The following is a 23422-nucleotide window of genomic DNA, read 5'->3' as shown; positions in this document are numbered from 1 at the left end:
TGCCTTACTCTGTGGACTATTTTCTCCCTTTCCAAGGGTCCAAAATAATTTGCTTAACAAATAACTGTTTTCTCCCTAGAGCAGCTCTGTCCAATGGAAATGGAATGTGAGCTGCATATGTAATTTAAAATTTTCTATTAGCCTCATTAAAAAATAAAGAGAAACAGGTGAAATCAATTTTCATGAGGCATTTTATTTAATCTGAAGCATTCAAAATATTGTCATTTCAATGAAGAGGATTAGGATATGCCACCCAAAAATGTGCTACTGTGGCATATTGATTATGTTGAGCTGATGGCAACTGAGAAACGGCAGGAGCAAGATGAACTCTCTGCCCTCTCCTTTTCTGCCTAAAATCAGAGCGTAGGTTTCCCTTCTCTCCTGGACTACAATGAAGAGGGTGACCCTTATCACTGGATACGAGGAGCCAGCACCGATTAAACCTTACTAAAATAACCCTACCTTCCATTTGTTCCCCCTATAGATTTCCTCATCACTTATTAGCCCTGGAAGCCTCAACTCTTTCCTTTGTCCAGTCACCTCTCCTCAATCAATAACCCATTGTTAAAAAGGTATCAACCAGGCGCGGTGGCTCACGCCTGTAATCCTGGCACTTTGAGAGGCTGAGGTGGGCGGATCACCTGAGGTTGGAAGTTCAAGACCAGCCCGACCAACATGAAGAAACCCCGTCTCTACTAAAAATACAAAATTAGCTGAGCGTGGTGGCGCATGCCTGTAATCCCAGCTACTCTGGAGGCTAAGACAGGAGAATCACTTGAACCCAGGAGGCGGAGGTTGCGGTGAGCCAAGATTGCACCATTGCACTCCAGGCTGGGCAACAAGAGCGAAACTCCGTTTCAAAAAAAAAAAAAAGGTATCTAAGCCCCCAAGTCTAACAGCTTTCTGGGGTTTATACTTTTCTGTGCAGTACTTGTGCACATAAAAATATTAACATCAATAAAAACGTATGTGCCTTTTCTCATGTTAATCTTTCTTTTTCCAGTAGAATTTGCTCATCCCAGGCACTGAATCTGAGAGGATAGAAGAAAAGTTTTTATCCCCTCCACTCCATCAACATATAACCAATATGAACACTATCAATGAGATATATTCTTTTTTAATCTTTATTTTAATTGTTTTACTAAATTCTTTGAAATTCTGCACGTATTTTACAGTTACAACTGTGAAAGGAAAATATCTTGGGCCCCCAAAATCACTAAGCTAAATGGAAAAGTAGAGCTGGGAACTGCTTAGGGCAAACCCGCCTCCCGTTCTATTCAAAGTTATCCCTCTGCTCACTGAGATAAATGCATATCTGATTGCCTCCTTTGGAAAGGCTAATCAGAAACTCAAAAGAATGCAACCATTTGTCTCTCATGTATCTGTGACCTGGAAGCCCCCTCCCCGCTTGGTGTCTTCCTGCCTTTGCTTCGATTGGTCCCACTTTTCCAGACTGAACCAATGTACTTCTTACATAAATTTATTGATGTCTCCTGTCTCCCTAAAATGTATAAACACAAGCTGTGCCCTGACCACCTTGGGCACATGTCCTCAGGACTTCCTGAGGCTGTGTCACGGGCGCGCAACTTCAACCTTGGCAAAATAAACTTTCTAAATTAACTGAGACCTGTCTCAGATTTTTTGGGTCCACACAACTCATCTCAATTTAGACTAGCCACACTTCTGCATGTAACCCTAACCACCAAATTCTACAGTGCAGCTCGAGAGGAATTCTACCTGTGGCCTTTAGTGTGAGTGTGTGTGATTCCTGTAACATACATACAGAGAGAGTAGATTGGCACCTTTTGTTCCAAGGGAAATAACATAATCAGGCTTCCTTCCATGTTTATAAAGGCTTCCCTGCTTCATATTTAGTTCAAAGGTTCTTGGGATGGGGTGGACAAATGCACACAGGGGCCATGGAACCTCCTGGGGAGGAGAGGAATTCACACACACACACCTTCAATATCATCACCACACCTCTGAAGAACACGGATGATTTCATATAAGAAACCTGGCAATCAAGGACATCAGGGACCTGAAAGTCACTTACAGCACAAGAGAAAGAAAAGCCTATAATAGTCCCAGGCTCTACTTTCGGGTTTAGAGTGTGAAGGGAGAAGACTCATTCTGTTTACAGCATGTGGTCATGTTGGAAATGCTAACACTATGAGCTTTCCTGGGGGAAGTGTGTGTGTGTGTGTGTGTGTGTGTGTGTGTGTGTGTGTGTGTACAAAGCTGTACTGGTGGGGGGTTGAGTCCTCGGAGTTACAGAGTGACCATAGTACTGTATGCAAGAGACTTTCTTTAGAGGGAGCCTTGAGATGTCTGTCGCTGACACACCAGTGACAGCAGTGCAGCCTTCAGCCACCTGAGTAAATCCCACCACGAGCAGGTAGGACCCTGGGATACAACAGGGCTTGGGGGACCAGATATACACAGCTCAGCAATGAACAAGGGCCCAGCCTGCCATGATAGGACCTCCTCTTGCCTTGCTGCTCTGAATGTGGTGTACAAAGTGGCAGTGCAGGGATCTCCAGGGAGGTCATCAGATATGTGGAGTCTTGGGCCTCCTTCCCACCAAATCAGAACCTGCATTTCAATAAGGTCTGCAGAGGCTTTACATGCACATGGAAGCTTAAGAGATTCTGCTTTAGTGGATTTTCCAGCTTTCTAGAAGGCACTAAACACAAGAACTGACATCCTGGATTAATTTATCACCCAGGAAGTCAAAGAAGCAAAATGCTTTCTTGGGTTTGGCAGAATGGGGGCTCCTAGGAGTTAAATTTGATTAATAAAAGTAATGCGACCTAATGTGTACCCTCTACCTGTGATGGGGGCATATCTGTTATACTACTAACAATAACATTATACTATACTTGAAACCAAACTGCCAAATGTAAAAATGTTGAAGGTAAAAAAGCATATTACATATGTGTATATATATATATGTGTGTGTACATATATGTATTTATATATCATATTTATTAGATATATTATCAGAAACTGGCTGGTTGTTCTTTGCCACCATGTACTACTTTGGATGGAGTATTCAGGGAAGGCTTTAGAGACACAAGTGTCCGGCTAGACCTTGAAGGGAGACTTTAGATGGGCAGAGCAGTGGAGACAATGATTAATAAGAGGAAAAGCTTTGGTCACAGAGGCATCAACTGACTGCAGTCACCTGCCTGTTTAACTCATGAGGATCATTTCACTCTGTGTCTGTCTCCTACAGGGATCCCAGAGCCATGATCTCTGACAGATAGACTAGCAGGAGATCAGTGAAGCTTTGGGTATTGGTTCCCACAAAAGATAGATGGAAATGCTTCCATCAGGCCCTTCATTCAAAACATGTTTAGTAAGGACCTAGTATGTACACCGGGAGGGACCTTGGATGGATGGGGCAGGAACAAGTAGTATGTTTTAGACTGGATGGGCCTTCTAAGAGTTTGCAACCAACAGTCAGATCAAATTAAAAGTGGAGTGACACTGAGTGGACTGGAAGGGCCAAGATCAGTGATATGGATGATAGGTACCACAGGAATTTTCAAAGAGAGATCAGTGAGGCACAGCATTAGAATTTAGACCCTCTCGATCAAAAAAAAGAAAAAAGTTATTGTTTTTATTAATCTGTTTAAATTACTTGTGCATCAGAAATGCACAATTATCACTGATATCAATGATGAGTACATAGTGTCAAGCATGAATGATTAAGAAAAAGATCACAAGAAGGACAAACTGAGTCTCTTTCAAAAGACAAAAATGAAAGGAATCTCTCCCTCCAGTATCTTCCCTGGAGGGCCACAGGCGCCTGTCCTTGGCAGTTCAGTATAGCTGTTGAAGAGGGGTTCACTTCTAACAAGAGCAGTGCCCTAAAATTCACATGGTAGTACTGAGCCAAGGTTCCAGAAGCTTGTCTACCCATATCTGTGAAGATTATCAGCAGCAGACTGCAATGAGACCACTTCTCTCTGAAGTTCTATTTGAGGCTCCACCTTGAATAACTTCAGTGACCAGATTAGCCTGAAATCCTTGGGATAGAGAGGGCTATCAGGGGCTTATTCTCAGGTCAGAATGACTTTTCCAGCTAACATGCTTCTGGGCTTATGTAAATTTAAACCAAGTGGGAAGATGGATGACAGAGGGATGGAGTGGTAAGTAGACACACAATAAAGCAAGGATAATGACAGTGCAATCTAGGTGATGGGTGTAGATTGACACCTTTTGTTCCAGGGGAAATAACATAGTCAGGCTTCCTTCCATGTTTATAAAGGCTTCCCTGCTTCATACTCAGTTCAAAGGATCCTGGGATGGGGTGGACAAATGCACACGGGGGCCATGGAACCTCCTGGGGAGGAAACGGATTCACACACATACCTTGGATTTACAGTTCAATATCATCACATGGCTCACATGAGTTTGCTGGGGTTGCCATAACAAACTGAGTGGCTTAAACAACAGAAATTTGTTGACTTAGAGTTCTGGAGGTTAAAAGTCTATGATCAAGATGTTGGCAGGGCTGGTTTCTTCTAAGGCCTTTTTCTTTGCCTTTTTGCTGTGTCTTCACACGATATTCCCTCTATGCATGTGGATGTCCTAATCTCCTCTTCTTCATAACGACACCAGTCAGATTGGATGAGGGCCCACCCTAACACATGATGGTAACTTGGCTACCTACTCAAAGAGCTCATCTCCAAATACAGTCACATTATGTGATACCGGGGGTTACAACTTTAACATAAAAATATGATTCAGCCCATATCACAGATGTTCACCGTAAAATTCTTCCAACTTTGCTATACGGTTAAATTTCTTCATAATAAAATGATAAGTAAAACTTAAATCAAGCAAATGTATCTCTTGTTTACAATTCTTCCGGATAGTTTGGCCAGGGAGGAGACTACCAACCCTCAGCCAAGTGAAGCTTAAAGAGTTTTATAGATTTCACATCCTCCATGTCAGCCCTTGTCTCTCTTCCCAGCCTCCAGCAGCAGAAACAAGAGGCTGGGCTGCAGCATTTTGCATTTTATTTACAGAGCCTGCTAAAATACCATGATACTTGGTAAAACATCTTAATGTCTCCATATGGTAGAAACAGACAGTATCAATTGCTGTCATAGTCTGAGACTGCAGTGCCTTCATTTATAGTGAAAATTCTTCAGTGAGACTCAAGTAGCTCTCCAGCCTCCAACAACACCTGCTGACAGTCCAGGACAGGAAGAAAGGTGCAAAGTCAACTGCAGAGGGAGGAGCACACAAACATGTGATGAAAACTCACCTGCAGACCCTACTGGACACAGTGGGATGGGGGAGTGTGAGTCTCTTAAGGATCAGAGCAGGGTAGGACTCCAGCCCTGTATTGCCTCTGAAAAAAGGTAAACAATCCCCAGGCAACCCCAAGGGGTCAACCTAAAACAGCTCTTGCTTGATTCTGTCCCTGAGATACATTCTGAGGACAGCTCAAGGAGTCTGTCATGCCTTCTTATTGTTTTTAAATGTTCAAAGCAAATTTGTCTACAATCACACATGTGGTCCGTTGTAAACTTATTTCCTAAAGAATAAACTTCACTTTTTTCTATTAAAAACAATCAAACAGATACAGTTAAGATCCAATTAGTATCCAGAGTGATTTACCAATACGTAGTAAATATGGCACTTACGAATTGGTACATTGCAGAGTTCCATGCTGCTATTCTGGGGCCATGAAAAATTTCTAATTATAGTGGGAATAGAGGAGCTGGGGTGACGAGAGGGGAGGAGCTGCCTAAAGAGCCCCCAGTAGGCTGCCCAGAGTGGTCACCGATTTCCAACAACATCTGCAACCACAATAGGCTCAGATTTAGGGCTGCCTCAGTCCATTTGCAGTTCTTCAATAAAGTGTGATGGAAATCAGCTTTTCCTCAATCAGTATTATGTTGGCTGTGGGTTTGTCATAGATGGCTTTTATTACATTAAGGTATGTACCTTCTATGCTGATTTTGCTGAGGGTTTTAATTATAAAGGGATGATGGATTTTGTCAAATGCTTTTTCCGTGTCTATTGATATAATCATGTGATTTTTGTTTTTAATTCTGTTTATGTGGCATGTCACATTTACTGACTTATATATGTTAAACCATCCCTGCAACCCTGGTATGAAACCCACTTGATCATAATGGATTATCTTTTTGATATGCGGTTGGATTTGGTTAGCTAGTATTTTATTAAGGATTTTTGCCTCTATATTCATCAGGGATATTTATGCCAGTTATTTTTGTTTTCCATATAATTCATCCCATGGACTAATCATACCAGGCAGAAAATGGACACACTTCTGGGTTTCTGCAGAAGTCTAAGAAAGCCATAGGGAAGGCAGGAAGCCAGAGCCTGGATGTTGCCCTCGTCAACAACTTGCAGTGACCTTGAGAAAGTCGGGCTTTCTGCTGGAGTTGGCTTCTCTCTTAATTGAAGATGACAGTTTTAATCTATGTCCCAGGAGAGCTGAGAGGAAGAAAGGACTCAAAATATCCTGAATGTCACTGTCTGTGACATCCCACACAGTAAGATTCATGTGCAATATAGGACACATACAGCTTATTTCATTAAAAATAAGGGAGAAATTTCAAAATATGAAAGTTTAGCTTACCATGGTAGAGGACTAGGAGACAATATGACATTTCCTTAGTGTTATACACAGCCATTTGATGTGGTTTGGATGAAGTTCATTGAAAACACATATGAAGGAGCACTTGAGGTCCACAGGTATGTGAGAGTCCAACTGGGGGAATCCTGGCTGAAAACAGACATCACACTCAGATTGCATCATTCAAGGAAGTTTAATAAAATGATTGTAAAGGTTTGGGTGTGGTGTTGGAGACCATAAGGGTTAACATAGGACCTGGGCACCTCTGGAACTGAAGAGGCAAGAGAAACAGGGATCACTCAAACCCAGTTCACAGAGAGGGCCACCTGAGAGCACCTGTGACCTAGTCCAGGGATGGAGTCCAGCCTGAGGTGACCCTGGAGGAGGGGATCAGGATGAATAAATGCCCAGTCTCATCTTCTCCTCTCTTCGACCTCTGCCCATCCCCACTGACCCAAGTCGACAAGAGGCTAGAGGTCAAGGAAACCCATTGATGCCATCCATATGGGCCAGGCTCACAGACCCAGAAAGGTGTGGGAAGGAAGGAGGGTTTGTGGTCAGCACAGACTTTAAAGGAGTCCATTGTGGGATTAAAAACATAGGCTCTGAAGTCAACTGCTGAGAACTACTCCTGACTCCTCCACTTACACGAGTTGTGTGAATTATGCAAACTTCCTGCAAACTGCCGATAATACTATTACCAAGTGAGCCAAAAATCATTGAACACGTAAAAATTGTGCCTCAAGGAGACAGGAGGAAAGAGTGGAAGCTGCTGGCCTTGTATCCATTCACTTGCTTAACAGTAGAACGCCTCTGGTCTGAGCTTTGTGGCAATGAAACAAATGGGGAAAGAGACTAACAATATCTGCTAGGAGGAAGAGACTTTATTTATTAAATGCCATTAACAGAATGTCCCGGCCTAATGAATAACTTTGAGCAAATAAAACCAGAATCTATAATGCAAGGCTCCCTGGGGAGAATGCCACATAAGTAGTATAACTCTCTGGGGCACAGTATGGAATGGCTTCAGCATCCACACTGTATGGATCCTCACAGAACCTCACTTGGAGCCCATCTAGTAATCTCACCTGACAGTGTCTCTAACGTGGGAAGGAGGGTCTTGGGTGCTATCCAGGCTGCCCCACTCCTCTCTGTCTGTCTGTGACTCAGAGCCACCTGAGCCCAGAATTACCAGGAAAATTTAGTATGAGGTAAGATCTCTCATCTGGATGAGGTTGATTTGATAAGCAAATCAGAACAGGAACTAGAGGAAGGCAAGCAAAATGTCTATGACACCAATTGAAGACGACACTCACTCTCACAGGCAGATGGGTACCTGAGAGCAGGGGTTTCCTTGGATTTTGTGCCCTGGTGCCTGTCATGCCTCACCCTAGTTCTGCCCTAAACCATCCACTGGGTTAGCTCACTTGGCCATTTGTGAACCTTGGGCAGTTATCCCTGTCATCTTGAAGATGCTCAGTAGCTGCCCTTCCTGTCTTGTGGTTCTATCAAGTCTGTTTTCTGGTTCTCCACAATTCATGTGTGCTCTGAGAAGTGGCAAAGCGGCATCAGCTTGATCTGCAAATTCTCAGACCCCACTTCAGACCCATGAAAACATTATCTGCATTCTAACAAGATTGCCAGGTGAGTTGGGTAGATATTAATGTTTGAGACACTCTGCTCTGATTAACTACAGTCTTTTGTAGCATATTAATGATTGAAATGGCAAGCACATTCAGCTCTTCATTGTCTCAAAGCTAAGTCAGGAGGCAATATTTAGTGCAAGGCACATACATGCTGTTCTTGATGGTTTTCATATAAAAGCTAATTTCCCAGGAACCAATTTGCTATGGTTTGAATGTATTTCCCAAGAAGCTGGTGCTGGAAACAATCCCCAATGTAGCTGTGTTGGGAGATGAGGCCTAATGAGAGGTGATTAGGCCATGAGGGTGGAGAGAATTGCCACTATCACTATCACTGGAGTGAGTTTGCTATAAAAGGGGGAGTTTGGTGCTCTCTCTCTCTCTCGCCCTTCCACCTTCTACCATGAGATGACACAGTAAGAAGGCCCTCACCAAACGTTGGTCTTGGAGTTTGGACTTCCCAGCCTCCAGAACCATGAACCAATATATTTCTGTTCATTATAAATTACTCAGTTTTGGGCGTTCTGTTATAGCAACACAAAACTGACAAAGACACCATTTTTTAAAGGGCCCTGTTCCTTTTATATCTCTGTGTACCTAACTCATAAGGCTGTTATTGAGAGTAAGTGAATAAATGGATGCAAAACCCCTGTGTGGTACCTGGTGCATGGAAAGCATTTGGTGAGCATTACCTCTTACTACTTTAGATGGATTTTACATAAGAAAAAAAACTGAGTTCTATGTTTCATTGATTTAAGGGAATAAATTGAGAAAAATGTAGCCATTAAATATTCTTAACTTTTTTACCCTAAAATCAACAGCTTCTCACCCTGTTCCCAAATTGACATGCAGATCAGTATACTCAAAGAACCAGGAGGCAAACAAACCAATCACACGCAGCTAAGTGCACCACAATTGGGCATGCTTCATAATTTTTCACAGCCGTGTTTGAGGATTATTAATACACAAAGGGGATTGGTTGAATGCTGGGGCTCATTTTCCTGTCACTCTGTACCAGAAATGGAGATTTGTAAAGGCAGATTTTATGCCAGTTCTTGGTTATTAAAGTTTTTCTAGGCAGTAAAGGAGAGAATTTTCTGGCTTTCGCTAGAGAAAAGCTGTCTACAACCTCCTGAAAGGACAGAATGCTTTAAGTTTGGTAGGAGCCAAGCAAAACAAAGTCATATATTTTTATTTTAACATCAGATTTCATGTGTCTATTCTGTTGTGCATTTATTGTATAGAGTCTTTTGTGACTTTGGAGTTAACAGAGGGTTTAGGCTGTCATATCTAATTCATTTATAATTGTATCCAGCAAGTTATGTCAGGACAGCGCTGACCTTGGTAGACACAACGTTTCACAATTCCTCACAATAAGACCTTTCGCCCAAGTCCCGGATGTGTAATTAGTAGTGCAGATAATTTCTGCTGTTGACTTTTAGTTTTCCTCAAAGAATTCCAAGGCTCAGTTAGGGCAATGTGTGTTTACTATCTCCTCACGATTTTAAAGCAAGGCATCCACTGGGTCTCTCACCCAATGTCAGCAGCTGATAAACATTCTTGAAGCTGTGAATTGCTGGGAGGATGAGAAATGTTGTTTCAAATACCAGTTTGTGAACCTTAGCCTTCATATTAGTTGGATGTGAAAACAAGACCCTTGATTTTCAGGACACTGGCTTGAAAAATCACACAGTGCGCCAGGCGAGGTGGCTCACGCCTGTAATCCCAGCACTTTGGGAGGCTGAGGTGGGCGGATCACCAGGTCAGGAGATTGAGACCATCCTGGCTAACACGGTGAAACCCCGTCTCTGCTAAAAATATTTAAAAAAATTAGCTGGGTGTGGTGGTGGACACCTGTAGTACCAGCTACTCAGGAGGCTGAGGCAGGAGAATGGCATGAACCCAGAAGGCGGAGGTTGCAGTGAGCCGAGATCGTGCCACTACACTCCAGCCTGGGCGACAGAGCAAGAATCCGTCTCAAAAAAAAAAAAAAAAAAAGAAAAATCCCACAGTGGATTACCACTGAATTATTTACCCTGCCCTGAAGGATCACAGTGTTGACTGGCCAACTTCCGCTCTATGGAATAAAACTGGTAACACATCAGGAAGGGGCATTTTAAACAGGAAGCCATTTCCAAGGAACAGAACTTTGACAGCGAATGAGATGTATTAAATGTATTATGTTAAAATTATAGGAATAAAAAGAGTTTCTAAGAAAGATGTGGTATAGTTTCAAAAAATGAAATCCAGAATAAATAGCTTAGGAGGGTAGGAAGGGGTTTGGAGAAGGAAGGTATGAAACCAACATCAGCTCCTAACAAAGTTTCACTAGTTTGTAAGAAACTTTAAAAAAAAGAAAAGATAATAAAATATACAGGCTGGTGCTCAGGTTTGGAGTTCAATTTTTCAATGAATTGAGTTAAATTTCCGTGGGACTTCAAGTCAAACTGTCTGATAGGGCATTTAGATTTTTTTTTTTAATTAGGCAGGAGATGCTGATAGAAGATGGCAAAAAAAAAAAAAAAAAATTACAAACAAAGTGGAAGCAGGGAAGGCTAGGATGGAATGAATAAACCATTTCAAGCTTTGCTCCCTTGCCCAAGCATGTGGGGAACTCCACAGCACCTCAAGAGCCTGGGCATAAGTTCTACCCATTCCAAAAGAAGGGACTTGTTATGTTATCCTTTTCTTAGAAAGGGCAACCACAGTTCTTGGTTCTCTGTTATCTGCCATATGTGCACTTGATTCTCATATCTAGATCAGGGGTCATCTTCTATCTCCACATTTTCCAGGGGAGGAAGCAAGTTCAGAGTTCCTAAATACCTTAGCAAGGTTGAGCAGCCAGCCAGCCCCAAGCAGGACTCGGCATTTATTTGATCTTAGAGCCCACTATTGTCCCACTATGACATCTTAGTGGGAAATGGGGCCCAGGGAATGAACTGTAGGAGTTTTATAACCATAGCAAATTAAATAAATCACCTGAAGGCAGAAAAATATTTCATCATTAGACAAATAGTAACCAATTTACTGGAAAATGTCCTCCTTTGTGTAAAGAGATTGATATGACCATTGCAATATTATTATTTTTGCTATTTGTAAGTTAGATGGAAGTCAAGAATCATATCTAAAACCATTTGTTATAGGAGGCCATAGGATAAATTCCTGGATTCAGAAGAACAAGCCAATGAAATGGCCAAAACTCCTCCACCTACATCCCTTTCCCCTTATTTAATAATTATGGACACAAGCACATGTACGTAGTGACATCCCTTTCCACTGCCCGTCGGCAACAAGCTGCCCTGTTCTCTTACCTCTAAAACTACCACCAGCTCTGTCATGGGGCAAATCCCAAAACTGGTGTTCAGCCTAGGAGGCTATGTGGGTTCTTGGCTCCATGAAAGAAAGAATTCAAGAGCAAGCAGACAGAGTAAAATGAAAGCATGTTTATTTGGCCAGGTGCAGTGGCTCACCCCAGTAATCCCAGCACTTTGGGAAGCCAAGGTGGATGATCACTCGAAACCAGGAGTTTGAAACCAGGCTGGCCAACATGGCAAAACCTCATCTCTACAAAATATACAAAAATTAGCTGGGTGTGATGGTGCACACCTCTAATCCCAGCTACTCGAGAGGCTGAGGCTTGAGAATCACTTGAACCCGGGAGGTAGAGGTTGCAGTGAGCTGAGGTCATGCCACTACATTCCAGCCTGAACAACAGAGCCAGACTCTGTCTCCCACTCCCCACCAAAAAAAGGAAGTATGTTTATTAAAAAGTAAAGAGGCTGGACAGGTTTTAGCAGGCTTCTCACTGCATGCTGTTTTATCAGCAGGTCTTTGTGACCCGTGTAAATGAAACAGTAGCTGAGACAGGTCTCAATCAATTTAGAAGTTTATTTTGCCATGGTTAATGACATGCTCGTGACACAGCCTCAGGAGATCCTGAGGACTTGTGTCCAAGGTGTTCGGGCTACAGCTTGGTTTTATATGTTTTAGGGAGACACAAGAGAGCAATCAATACATGTAAGATGTAGATTTGTTCAGTCAGGAAAGGCGAAACAACTGGAAGTGGAGGGAGGGGGCTTCCAGGTCATAGGTGGATTCAAAGATTCTCTGATTGGCAATTGGTTGAAAGAGTTTATTTAAAGACCTGGAATCAACAGAAAGGAGTGTCTGGGTTAAGATAAGGGATTGTGGAGACCAAGGTTTTTATTATGCAGATGAAGCCTTCAGGTGGCAGGCTTCAGAGAGAATAGATTGTAAATATTTCTTATCAGACTTAAAAAGGTGTCAGACTCTTAATTCTCTCCTAAATCAGGAAAAAGACCTGGAAAAAGAAAGGGGTTATCTGCAGAATGTAGATTTTCCCCACAAGAGACATATTTGAGGACCATTTCAAAACATGTCAAATAAATATAGTTTGGGTTTAATTATGTTGATTTCTTTTAGGGCCTACTATCCGTCATGTTGGTATCTTATTGCTACAAAGAGTCTGCTTTGTCAGTCTTAAGGTCTCTTAATGTTAACACTGGTCAGGTGTGCCTGATTTCCAACGGGAGGAGAGTAAAATGAGGCATGTTTGACCCCCACTTCCCATCATGACCTGACCTAGTTTTTCACGTTAACTTAGAAATGCACTTGGCTGAGAGGTGGGGTCTGTTCAATGGGTTGAGGGGCTCAGATTTTTTTCTTTTATTGAGATAGAGTTTTGCTCTTGTCACCCAGGCTGGAGTACAATGGTGTGATCTCAGCTCACTGCAATCTCTGCCTCCTGGGTTCAAGTGATTCTCCTGCCTCAGTGCCCCCAGTAGCTGGGATTACAGGTGTCCACCACCACACCCAGTTAATTTTTTTTATTTTTAGTAGAGACGGGGTTTCACCATGTTGGCCAGGCTCGTCTCAAACTCCTGAACTCAAGTGATCCGCCCACCTGGGCCTCCCAAAGTGCTGGAATTATAGGCGTGAGCCACCTTGCCCAGCCCTAGAATTTTATTTTTGATTAACACCTGTGTCTTGTTAAACAAGTTCTACCAAATTTCAATCTCACCTCCATCTTCACAGACAAACGATAGCAAAAGGGCATGAAGAAATACAAGATTATGAGGCACACCAAAGCTGCCAAAGTGTTCTGATTGAATCCTAGGCAATGTCTAAAGACAAAATCACAGCAATTCAGTTTAAAGATCTTACTTGGCCTATATTTGTGATTCTAGAATCAGGCAACACTTTATTCCGTAAAACAGAATGAGTGTTCTGACAATCTGAGCAGAGGAGGTTGGCTTTACAGACAGAAAAGGGCTGAGAAATGCAGACAGAGAGAACAAAAAGATTGGTCATTTCGAAGTTACTTTTCTTATAGGGTTCAAAACAGAGGGGACTGACTGGGCACAATCACTCACACCTATGAAGAAAATGAAAATATTCTGCCCCAAAATATATTTCTTTGGCATATGTTGAAATGGCTGCCACCTAGGCATCCTGACAGAAGTGGCCTTTCAAAGCTGCCTTAAGTGGTGTATTAGTCTGTTCTCACACTGCTATAAAGACATACCCAAGATGGGGTAATTTATAAAGAAAAGTTGTTTAATTGACTCACAGTTCTGCATGGCTGGGGAGGCCTCAGGAAATTTACAATCATGGTGGAAAGGGAAGTAGGCACGTCTTACATGGCGGCAGGTGAGAGAGTGTGTGTGGGAGAAATGGTCAAACACTTATAAAATCATTGGATATCCTGAGAAATCCATCATTATCCTGAGAACAGCATGGGGGAAAACCACCCCCATGATCCAGTCACCTCCTACCAGGTCCTGCCCTTGACACATGGGAATTATGGGGATTATAATTCAAGATGAGATTTGGGTGGGGACACAGAGCCAAACTATATCAAGTGGGAAAAATGTGCATCTGTAGAGAATCTCTGTTAATGCATCCAGACCCCTCTCCTTTCTGTTCCTTTCCCCAGATCCGGGGGAGACATTGAGAATCTGACACCTTTAAAAGTCTGAAAAGAAACAGTTTACCATCTATTCTGTCTGAGGGAGGCTTCATCTACATAACAAGTCCTCCTTTGCAGCCAAGCCTCTTCTCCACCTCCCACACCCTGTTTTACCAGAATCTAAGCCTCTAGTCTTTCTGTAACCTCGAAATGGTATACAAGTTTCTTAACTCATTGGGAATTTAGATCTTCATTCTGTAGACTCTTGTGTATGCACATTAAATAAATTTGTATGCCTTTTCTCCTATTAATCAATGTGCCTCATGTCAGCGATTTTTAGCAAAACTTTAGGGGGCCAAGGGCCTACAGCCCCAACACCTCTAATCCTAGCACTGTAGGGAGCTGAGGTGGGAGGATGGCTTGAGCCCAGGAGTTCAAGACCAGCCTGGGCAACACAGAGAAACCCCTATATCTACAAAAAAATTAAAAATTACTTCAGTGTGGTGGCACATACCTGCAGTCTCAGCTACTCTGGAGGCTGAGGCAGGAGGATCATTTGAACCCAGGAGTTTGAGGCTGCAGTGAGCTATGATCATGGCACTGCACACTCAGCTGGGTAACAGAGCAAGACCCTGTTTCAAAAAAAAAAAAACAAAAAACAGAGGGGACTTCCTTATTATACCGAATCAGGTTGACTAGAATCTCCTGTTTTTAGGAAAACTGTCCTATTTCAATGTTCAATTTGATTACATGGCACTTAGCACCAGTGACTCCATTCTGGTTTGGCCTGATCTCCTAGGGCCCAGTGCAGGAGGCCAGCCCAAAACAGTGGTCTCTCATGCACTTTGTTTCCCAGCACAGATGTTCCAAGGACAGAATGGACAGCAAAATGTTTCACTTCCATTCAACAAATTGCTTCATTTGGAACTGCGTCAAAAAGTTGCTAGCCCTTTTTTACATTGGTGATATTCCCAACATGTAGTCATATTTTCCTACATCTTAAGTTTTTGCTTCCAAAGAAGCAAGAGCTTGGAATTCTTTACAGAGAAAACATGTCTAGTGAGTTGAAATCTGCTCCCACCCTGCACTGAGATTCTATACCCCCAGTAGACTGACCTTGGGTCTGACATTCCCTGTGCTAGAGCTAAGGCCTTTCAGGATTTTAATATAGAGTAAACTTTCATTTTCTTCCATTAAAATGGCAGTCCTCCAGCATTTTTTTCTCATCTGTTGGCAGTGAGTGTAAGTTCAGCACTTACTTATTTCCCTGGCTCAGCAAAAAGATACACATGCCACTTGACAATGAAGATTTAGTAAAAACTCATTTTGGAGGAGAATTACTTATTTGAATTTTGCCAATGAAAGTGAGATAATTTCAAAATGAGTCCATATGTTATGTTGCATGGTTAATGAGAATGGAGTCATTCCAAACTGATTGGACATTTTATTTCTAATTTTACAATTCTTTGAGTTATTTAAAACTTCTCCATTACTTCTCCATTGCTTATCTAATTTGTCCTTATTTTCCTGGAAACTATGTATTTTTTTCCTCAATTGATGGATTTGTTCTTATCCATCAAAAATAGGTAAGGATTGGCCAGGTGTGGTGGCTCACGCCTGTAATCCCAGGCAGGCGGATCACAAGGTCAAGAGATTGAGACCATCCTGGCCAACACGGTGAAACCCTGTTTCTACTAAAAATAGAAAAATTAGCTGGGCGTGGTGGTGGGCACCTGTAGTCCCAGCTACTTGGGAGGCTGAGGCAGGAGAATTGCTTGAATCCAGGAGGTGGAGATTGCAGTGAGCCAAGGTCACGCCACTGCAATCCAGCCTGGCAACAGAGCAAGACTCTGTCTCAAAAAAAAAAAAAAATATATATATATATATACACGTATATGTGTATATATATGTGTGTATATATATGTATATATGTGTATATATGTATATGTGTATATATGTATATATATGTGTATATATATGTATATGTGTATATATGTATATATGTGTATATATGTGTATATATGTGTATATGTGTATATATGTGTATATGTGTATATATGTGTATATGTGTATATATGTGTATATGTGTATATATGTGTATATATGTGTGTATATATATACGTATATATATATAAAAGAATAGGTAAGGACTGAATTATATTCAATATACTATAGAAACATATCTTATCTCTATGAGATTAGTTTAATTTTTCTTTCCATTAGAATCAATTCATTTATTCTTACTTTGTTTCAATAACAAATATGAAGAAAATATCTGGGGATAAATTCACTTATCCTCAATTTTTTTCTCTTTTTTTATATTCTTCCCATTACTTGATAACCTTAGTCTATAATCAGTCCTGTTTTACAATCTTGTAATCACCTTTGCTTTCCTAAAAGTGATCAGTTCAGTATTTAGTTAGTTGCTGGATTTGAGAGAGAGAGAGAGAGAGAGAGATCATGTTTATTTCACCTTAAAAACCAAAGATAAAGATATTTGCCTCTATAGCATAATGCTTTAAACATCAGTGCTACAGTGGCTATTACAGATGGAATCCTAGCCTATGCAAAGGCTGTGGCCAAGAGATCTCTGCCAGAAGCCACCCTGTGGTATTCCTCAGGCCCCTCTCTCTGGAAGGAATTTTTACTTCCTACATCCAGTCTCCTCCCAGGATATTTGCCACCTAGGCAAATGCTAGGACCTTTGGCTTTCTTACTCCCCACACACCCAGGACTTTTCCTGCCCTTGTCACGTACAGCTATATGTTAAAGAGTTTGTTTAACATCCATGCCCGTGGTCTTCCACATTACTCCAACATGAAAAAGAGTTGTCGAAATGGACAAATAAACTTTAATCTATTCACTTTCTCCAAAATAACACTGAACATTTTCTCATGAATTCAGATGACCAGTCAGAGAACATACGTCAAAGTCAGGGGTGGTCTTCCTTCTTGGGGCTTTGGTTCACTAATCCTCCACTATGCACTGATTGTTGATTCTAAATGGCATCAGTGATATCTTACAGAGGGAAAGTCCAATGTTCTTTGCTTCTTGTCCATCTGGGATAATTTTTTTCTCTGAATTCCCAATATTTTTTTCTTGTTCTTCTCATTGATCTATTGTTGATTTTTAAAACTACCATCCCCATGATTCTGCTTCCTTTCTGATCCTTCATCATTTATTCTGCCTATAGACAGAAAGGGGCTTTAAGCTTCACTTGGGAAGCCTGTCCAGGATTCCCTGAAACATCACTTCCAACTATTGGAATCCAGAGATCTCAGATGTGTTTAGTGTCTGTGGTAGGCAGACCAATGGTTGCCCAAGGACGCCCACGTCCTAATCCTTGGAACCTGTGAATATGGCACTTTACATGGCAAAAGGGACTTTATAGATGTGATTAATGATCTTGAGATGGGGGGTCATCTGGATTATCTGGGTAGCCCCAATGTGATTTTATAAAGGAGCAAGAAGTTAGAGTTAGAGGAGATGTGCAGACAGCTCAGAGGCTAGAATCACACACCACCATGAGCCAAGGAATGCAGGGCCTCTAGAAGCTGGGAAAGACCCAGAGCTGATTCTCCCCAGAGTCTTCAGAAGGACAGCGGCTTTGCTGACACCTTGATTTCAGCCCAGAGAGACTCATTCTGGGCTTCTGACCTCCAGTGCTGTAACATAATAAATTTGTATTCTGTTAAACCACCAACTTTGAGGGACTTTAATTATAGCAGTCATAAGAAATGAATGTTGTGTCTTTTATTTCTTCATTTAACCACCTTAGTTCTTTTCATGCTATCATCACTTGTTCTTTAATGTCTGTTATTTGTTAATGTCCTTTCCCCCTATTTTTTTCTGCCTGTATTTCACAGAGGATCTCTAAGTTCTGAGCACTGACACCATCCTGTAAATGGCCAGGTGCTGCTCCTGCCCCTAACAGTCTTCTTTGCTTCCTGCTAATTATTACACTCTGGAGGCGAGAGCTGAGCAGTTGTTGATTGGGGCTCAGCAACACTTTTGCCTCCTTGCTTTAAACACACTTTGTGCTCTGTCTCCTTTCCCAAAATTGTTCTGTCCTCTTGAAGTTAATTAATCCTTTTCTTTTCATGAGATTTGAGAAAAGTGCCTCCCCTCACCATATGTCCCATTTTTCATATTTGTCTACTGGATAATGGATCTTGTCTCTCCTTTGCATTCCTAGAAGTGATTACTTTGGTATTTAGCTGCTTGCTGGGTTTGAGAGAGAGAGAGAGAGAGGGAGGAAGAGAGAGTAATATAAACCCTTTATCTTTCCTTCTAAGGTTTAATCTTTAGCTAATTAACTTCAGGTAAGAAATTCCCCATCTTCTAAGTCTAAGCAACTACTGTGCTACCCAAATTTATATCTCTTTTCTGTTTGTAATCCAATCAGCCATATCTTTCATTTAAAATGTAAAGGCATGCACATATTCTCAGACCATCCTTCTAAAAACTCACTTCCTCCAAGATTCAAAGTCTTCTGAGACTGTATATTTCTCCTTTGCTTATAAAGTTTCATTTCTCATGAGACAAATAGGTAGTTTTCTTTATCAAACTGTCTGTATAATGAGAGTATAAATTGGTAAATTTTTCAGGCAAGCAATTGGACCACAAATTTCAAGGCCTTGAAAACCTCAGAGCTTTGTCACAACAATCCATGAATAAATTTCATAAAGTTAGAATTTCATAGGAATTCATGACATAAATTTACTTGTTTACTTATGAAATAAACTTATGAAATAATTGGAGACATGCAAATATTTACACATACGTATTTATGATTGAATTATTTATACAAAATGTAGACAACAAAAAACCCAATAATAAATGTGTAACCTTATAAAATTAAACACTGTGCAGTAAAATTTGAAAAATCAGATTTCTAAAAGGTCAGATTTTCAAAAATTATTTAATGACATAGGAAAGTGTCCATGATTCAAATCTTAAAAACAAAAACAAAAGCAAATCCCAAGTTATAAGGTGAGTATAATTTGAACTCAACTGGGAAAGCACAGACACACTCATTCACACACAAAATGGAAAGTTCCATAAAGAAATACACCAATCTGTTAACAGTATTTATCTCTACATGGTGATGATGTTAATAATGACATTTTATTTTTTTAATTTAATTTGATTATTATTATTTTTTTGAGACAGAGTTTCACTCTTGTCACCCAGGCTGGAGTGCGATGGCATGATCTTGGCTCACTGCAACCTCTGCCTCCCAGGTTCAAGCAATTCTCCTCCCTCCACCTCCCCAGCAGCTGGGATCACAGATGCCTGCCACCACGCCTGGCTAGCTAATTTTTGTATTTTAGTAGAGACAGGGTTTCAACATTTTGGCCACGCTGGTCTTGAACTCCTGACCTCAAGTGATCCGCCCGCCTCAGCCTCCCAAAGTGCTGGGATTACAGGTGTGAGCCACCATGCTTGGCGCATTTTATTCATAATGTTTTCTGTATTTTCCAATTTCTCCACAATAAACACCTAAAACTTTAGGAAACAAATCTAAAAACAAAACAGTTATTTGAATGTTGACCAGCATAGTCAGTGATAAGACTGCAGACTGGAGCCCGACTGCCTGGAGTCACAATCCAGGCTCCAAACCACACAGTCTGTGTAAAGTGCTTAGACTGTGCCTTCCCCATAGTGAGTCCTAGGTGAGGGTCCTGACTATGGACTACAGTGGACACTTTCAGATTATCAGGCTGGGACCTCCACCCACACAGGTGGGTGATGATCGCAGGACCTTCAGTGCCTTCCTGGCCAGGCAGCAGTAAAACATCTGGTGAAGGGGGCCAAACGGTATTTTCCCGCTAGGAATTCTGGAAATGAACCCGAGAAAGGAGTACAGTCTACCTTGACTGCCTGGTCTGTGACATGTAAAATTGGGAACTGTTAGACATTCCTCTACCCTGCCTCACTTGCCCCAATACCTGTACCATGGGACCCAGGTATATTCATATATATCCCATCTGTGTCTATGAGGAGGCAATGAAGTCTAGAATTATAAATACCATTGTTTTATTGTATATTGTAAAATCAAGATATAACTAATTATATATTAATAATAAATATGTATCACAGAAGCACATGTATTATATAAATATGCATGAGCCATGATTCTAGACTTGGTCACCAACCTGCAAAATGAAATAGAGAAGAGCAGAGGTGAGGAACCTGAGTGCAGCCTGGCCCACATGGTCTAGATGCTCAGCAACCCCTCTGGTCCTATTACCTCGCCCTTCTTGTAAACCCATCTAGGACTCTGCAACCACAGGAATCCTAACTAGTGCAAATCTGGTTGACGGTGGGCTCTGCACAGTCCCACAGCTGCAAGCTTCTTCCAGTCCCTCTCCCTGTGGCTCGTGAGAAAACACACACCAGAGGAAGCTCACAGATGACAAGCTGTCCAGGAGGTCTGGGGGCTTGGGAGCATGGGGAGGGCAAGGAGCCACAAGTCCAGGGAGCAAGGAAGTGACGAGAACAACTGGCCAGCTGCTTCCTATTAGTGGAATACTGCTTCCTGTTAGGGAAATAGACAATTACCTGGACAATTACCTCAAGTGGAGGACCCAGTAAGCTTATCAGAGTGTTTGTATGTAGAGGCCTGTTCCATTAGATCTTCACAGACTCGAAACTGCGCTTTACTAATACCCAATTTGAGTTAATTTACTTGAGATTTCAGAATCAAAGTCAAAAGATTTTGAAAAAGCCAAAATTATAGGATATATAAATATTAGGTTGGTGCGAAGTGATTGCAGTTTTTGCCATTACCTTTAATGGAAAAAAATGCAATTACTTTTACACCTATCTACCATTATGGTTTGCTAAGTTTTTATAAGTATTAATAGTTACAGCATGCTTAATTTGTTGTCTATGTGTCTTCTTTAGCGGTTAGTATATTCTGAATATTTTTTCTTTTGTAAATAGTGAATACTTGAGGGGACACGCTTTGAGGCTATGCAAATTTCTGGTTCTCCTTAAACTTTTGTCCTCTAACATTAGCATTCATCAATGGACTGCACCTACAGTAGCTATTACTGCGGTGTCCTCATGGTCACTGTCTACTTCCCTCATTTCTCCTGCGCATATTAACTGCGCCTCCCCTGTAATGAAGAGTTACACCCTTTCCCTCATTTGTTTGTCTATTAAATCATTTATGTAATATAGACTCACAGATGTTTATCTTATATATTAGTTATTTCTTTTAGCTCATTGCTCAAATTGTTCCAGTTTTGTCCATTATAAACTCTTTAGATTAGGTTTTGTGTCGTTTTAATATACTTTCCTTTTTTCTTTCTTTCCTTCTTTTTTTTTTTTTTTTTTTTTGAATAGTACTTATTTACTTTCTCTTGCCACAAGATGCTCCAGGCTCATCCTGGATTGTTCGATTGTTCCTGTCACAGCCTTGGTGAATTAGTCAGCTGGGCTGCCATAACAAAATGCTATAATATATGAGTGGCTTAAACAATAGCAGTGTATTTCTCATAGTTCTGGTGGCAAGAAGTTCAAGATCAAGCTGCCTACAAGGAAGACTTCCTTCTGAGGCCTCTCTCTTGGCTTGTAGGAGACTGCCATCTTGGTGTGTGCTCACATGGTGAAGAGAGAGAGCACTCTCTGGTGTCTCTTCTTATATGAGACTTCATCTAACACTAATTACCTCCAAAAAGCCACATCACAAAATACCGTTAAATTAGAGGTTAGGGCTTCAACATAGGACTTTGAGGCAGGGGACACAAAAACACTTAGTCCATCACACTTAGAATCAAGCATTTCTTCCAGGAGCCCTGGTTTACTTTATTAGAAAATGTTTGTATTTAGGAGCCAAGACCTGGACATTAGGATTGCTTGTTGCTACTGGGGTGTTCCTGCTTCTAAGTAACATTAGGAAGAACTAGGAAATATCTGTATATATACTAATTTATGTATATACACAATTTTTATTGATTTATTAATAGACTTTATTTTCTAGAGCACTTTTAGGAGTACAGCAAAATTGAGTGAAAACGACAGATTTCTCACATAGCCCTGTCCCCACACATGCACAACTTTCCCCACGATTTACATCTCACACCAGAGCGGTACATTTGTTACAAGCAGTGAACCTACACTAACACATAATTATCACTCAAAGTCCATAGTTTACATTAGGGTTCGGTTTTAATCTTTTGTATTCTATGGGTTTTGACAACTGTATAATTTCCAGCATCGTAGTGTCATATAGAGTAGTTTCATTGCCCAGAAAATCCTCTGTACTCTGTCTATTCATCTCTCATCTCTCCTTCTCCCAATTTAATGGCCACCATGAATCTTTTTACTGTCTCCATTTTCCTTTTACTTAATGTCATATAGTTGAATTACACAGTGCATAGCCTTTTCGGGTTGGCTTCTTTCACTTAGTAATATGCATTTAGGGTTTCTCCACACTTTTTCATGGTTTGATAGCTCATCTTGTTTTAGCACTGAGTAATACTTCATTGTTTGGATATTCCATGATTTACCTATTTACCTACTGAAGGACATCTTGGTTTCTTTCAAGTTTTGGATTGTTGCTTCCTCTCTCTAGGCCATTATGAATAAAGTGTCTATAAAAATATTCCAAGTAGGAAGTTGTGCAAACCCTAAATCACTGGGAAAGGTTTTTGTGTGGACATAAGTTTTCAGTTTACTTGGGTAAATATCAAGGAGCATAATTTCTGGGTCATATGGTAAGAGTATGTTTACTTTTGAAAGAAACTGCCAAACTACTTTCCAAAGTGGCTGCACCATTTTGCCTTCCCACCAACAATGAATGAGAGTTCCTGTTGCTCCACATACTCACCAGCATTTGCTGTTGTCAGTGTCCTGTATTTTGGACATTCTAGTAGGTGGGTAGTGTTATTTCATTGCTGTTTTAATTTGCAACTTTCTAATGAGATATGATGTTGAGCATCTTTTCATATACTTATTTGCCATCTGTATATCTTCTTTGGTGAGGTGTCTATTTAGGTCTTTTGACTATTTTTCAATCAGATTGTTTGTTTTCTTATTGTTGAGCTTTAGGAGTTCTTTATTTTGGAAAACAGTCTTTTATCAGATGTGTCTTTTGCAAATATTTTCTCCAAGTTCATGGACTGTCTTCTCATTCTCTTGAGATGCATTTATCATTATTGTTATTTTTAAGTTTTATTTTAAGTTCAGAGGTACATGTGCAGGTTTGTTATACAGGTA

At 41.0% G+C, this 23422-nt stretch overlaps 1 long non-coding RNA gene across 2 annotated transcripts in view, besides 2 other annotated features; it reads right to left on the bottom strand.

The window, feature by feature from the left end:
* Positions 1–23422, bottom strand: part of LOC102724744 (uncharacterized) — an 81680-nt gene that overhangs the window by 8904 nt on the left and 49354 nt on the right. Inside the window, exon 2 of one of the 2 annotated variants that reach the window (XR_923152.3) lies at positions 6626–6768. This is a non-coding gene — a long non-coding RNA (uncharacterized LOC102724744). Of the gene's footprint in view, positions 1–6625; positions 6773–23422 lie in introns of both variants that reach the window. The other variant, XR_923150.3, reaches the window with a different exon arrangement.
* Positions 11938–12449: an enhancer, noted in NCBI's record as "NANOG-H3K27ac hESC enhancer chr2:107378467-107378978 (GRCh37/hg19 assembly coordinates)". NCBI's record gives its function as "activates a minimal SCP1, AML or CMV promoter by ChIP-STARR-seq in naive H9 embryonic stem cells {active_cell/tissue: H9 hESC(naive)}" and the evidence as "EXISTENCE:reporter gene assay evidence [ECO:0000049][PMID:30033119]".
* Positions 19810–20026: a silencer, noted in NCBI's record as "fragment chr2:107370890-107371106 (GRCh37/hg19 assembly coordinates)". NCBI's record gives its function as "represses an EF-1alpha promoter that drives an FKBP-Casp9 reporter gene in an ReSE screen in K562 erythroleukemia cells {active_cell/tissue: K562}" and the evidence as "EXISTENCE:reporter gene assay evidence [ECO:0000049][PMID:32094911]".

The sequence above is a fragment of the Homo sapiens genome, chromosome 2 (assembly GCF_000001405.40).
Source record: "Homo sapiens chromosome 2, GRCh38.p14 Primary Assembly".
Lineage (NCBI taxonomy): Eukaryota > Metazoa > Chordata > Mammalia > Primates > Hominidae > Homo > Homo sapiens.
Note: the sequence above shows the minus strand (reverse complement) of the source record. Positions and strands in the feature narration are given on the sequence as shown.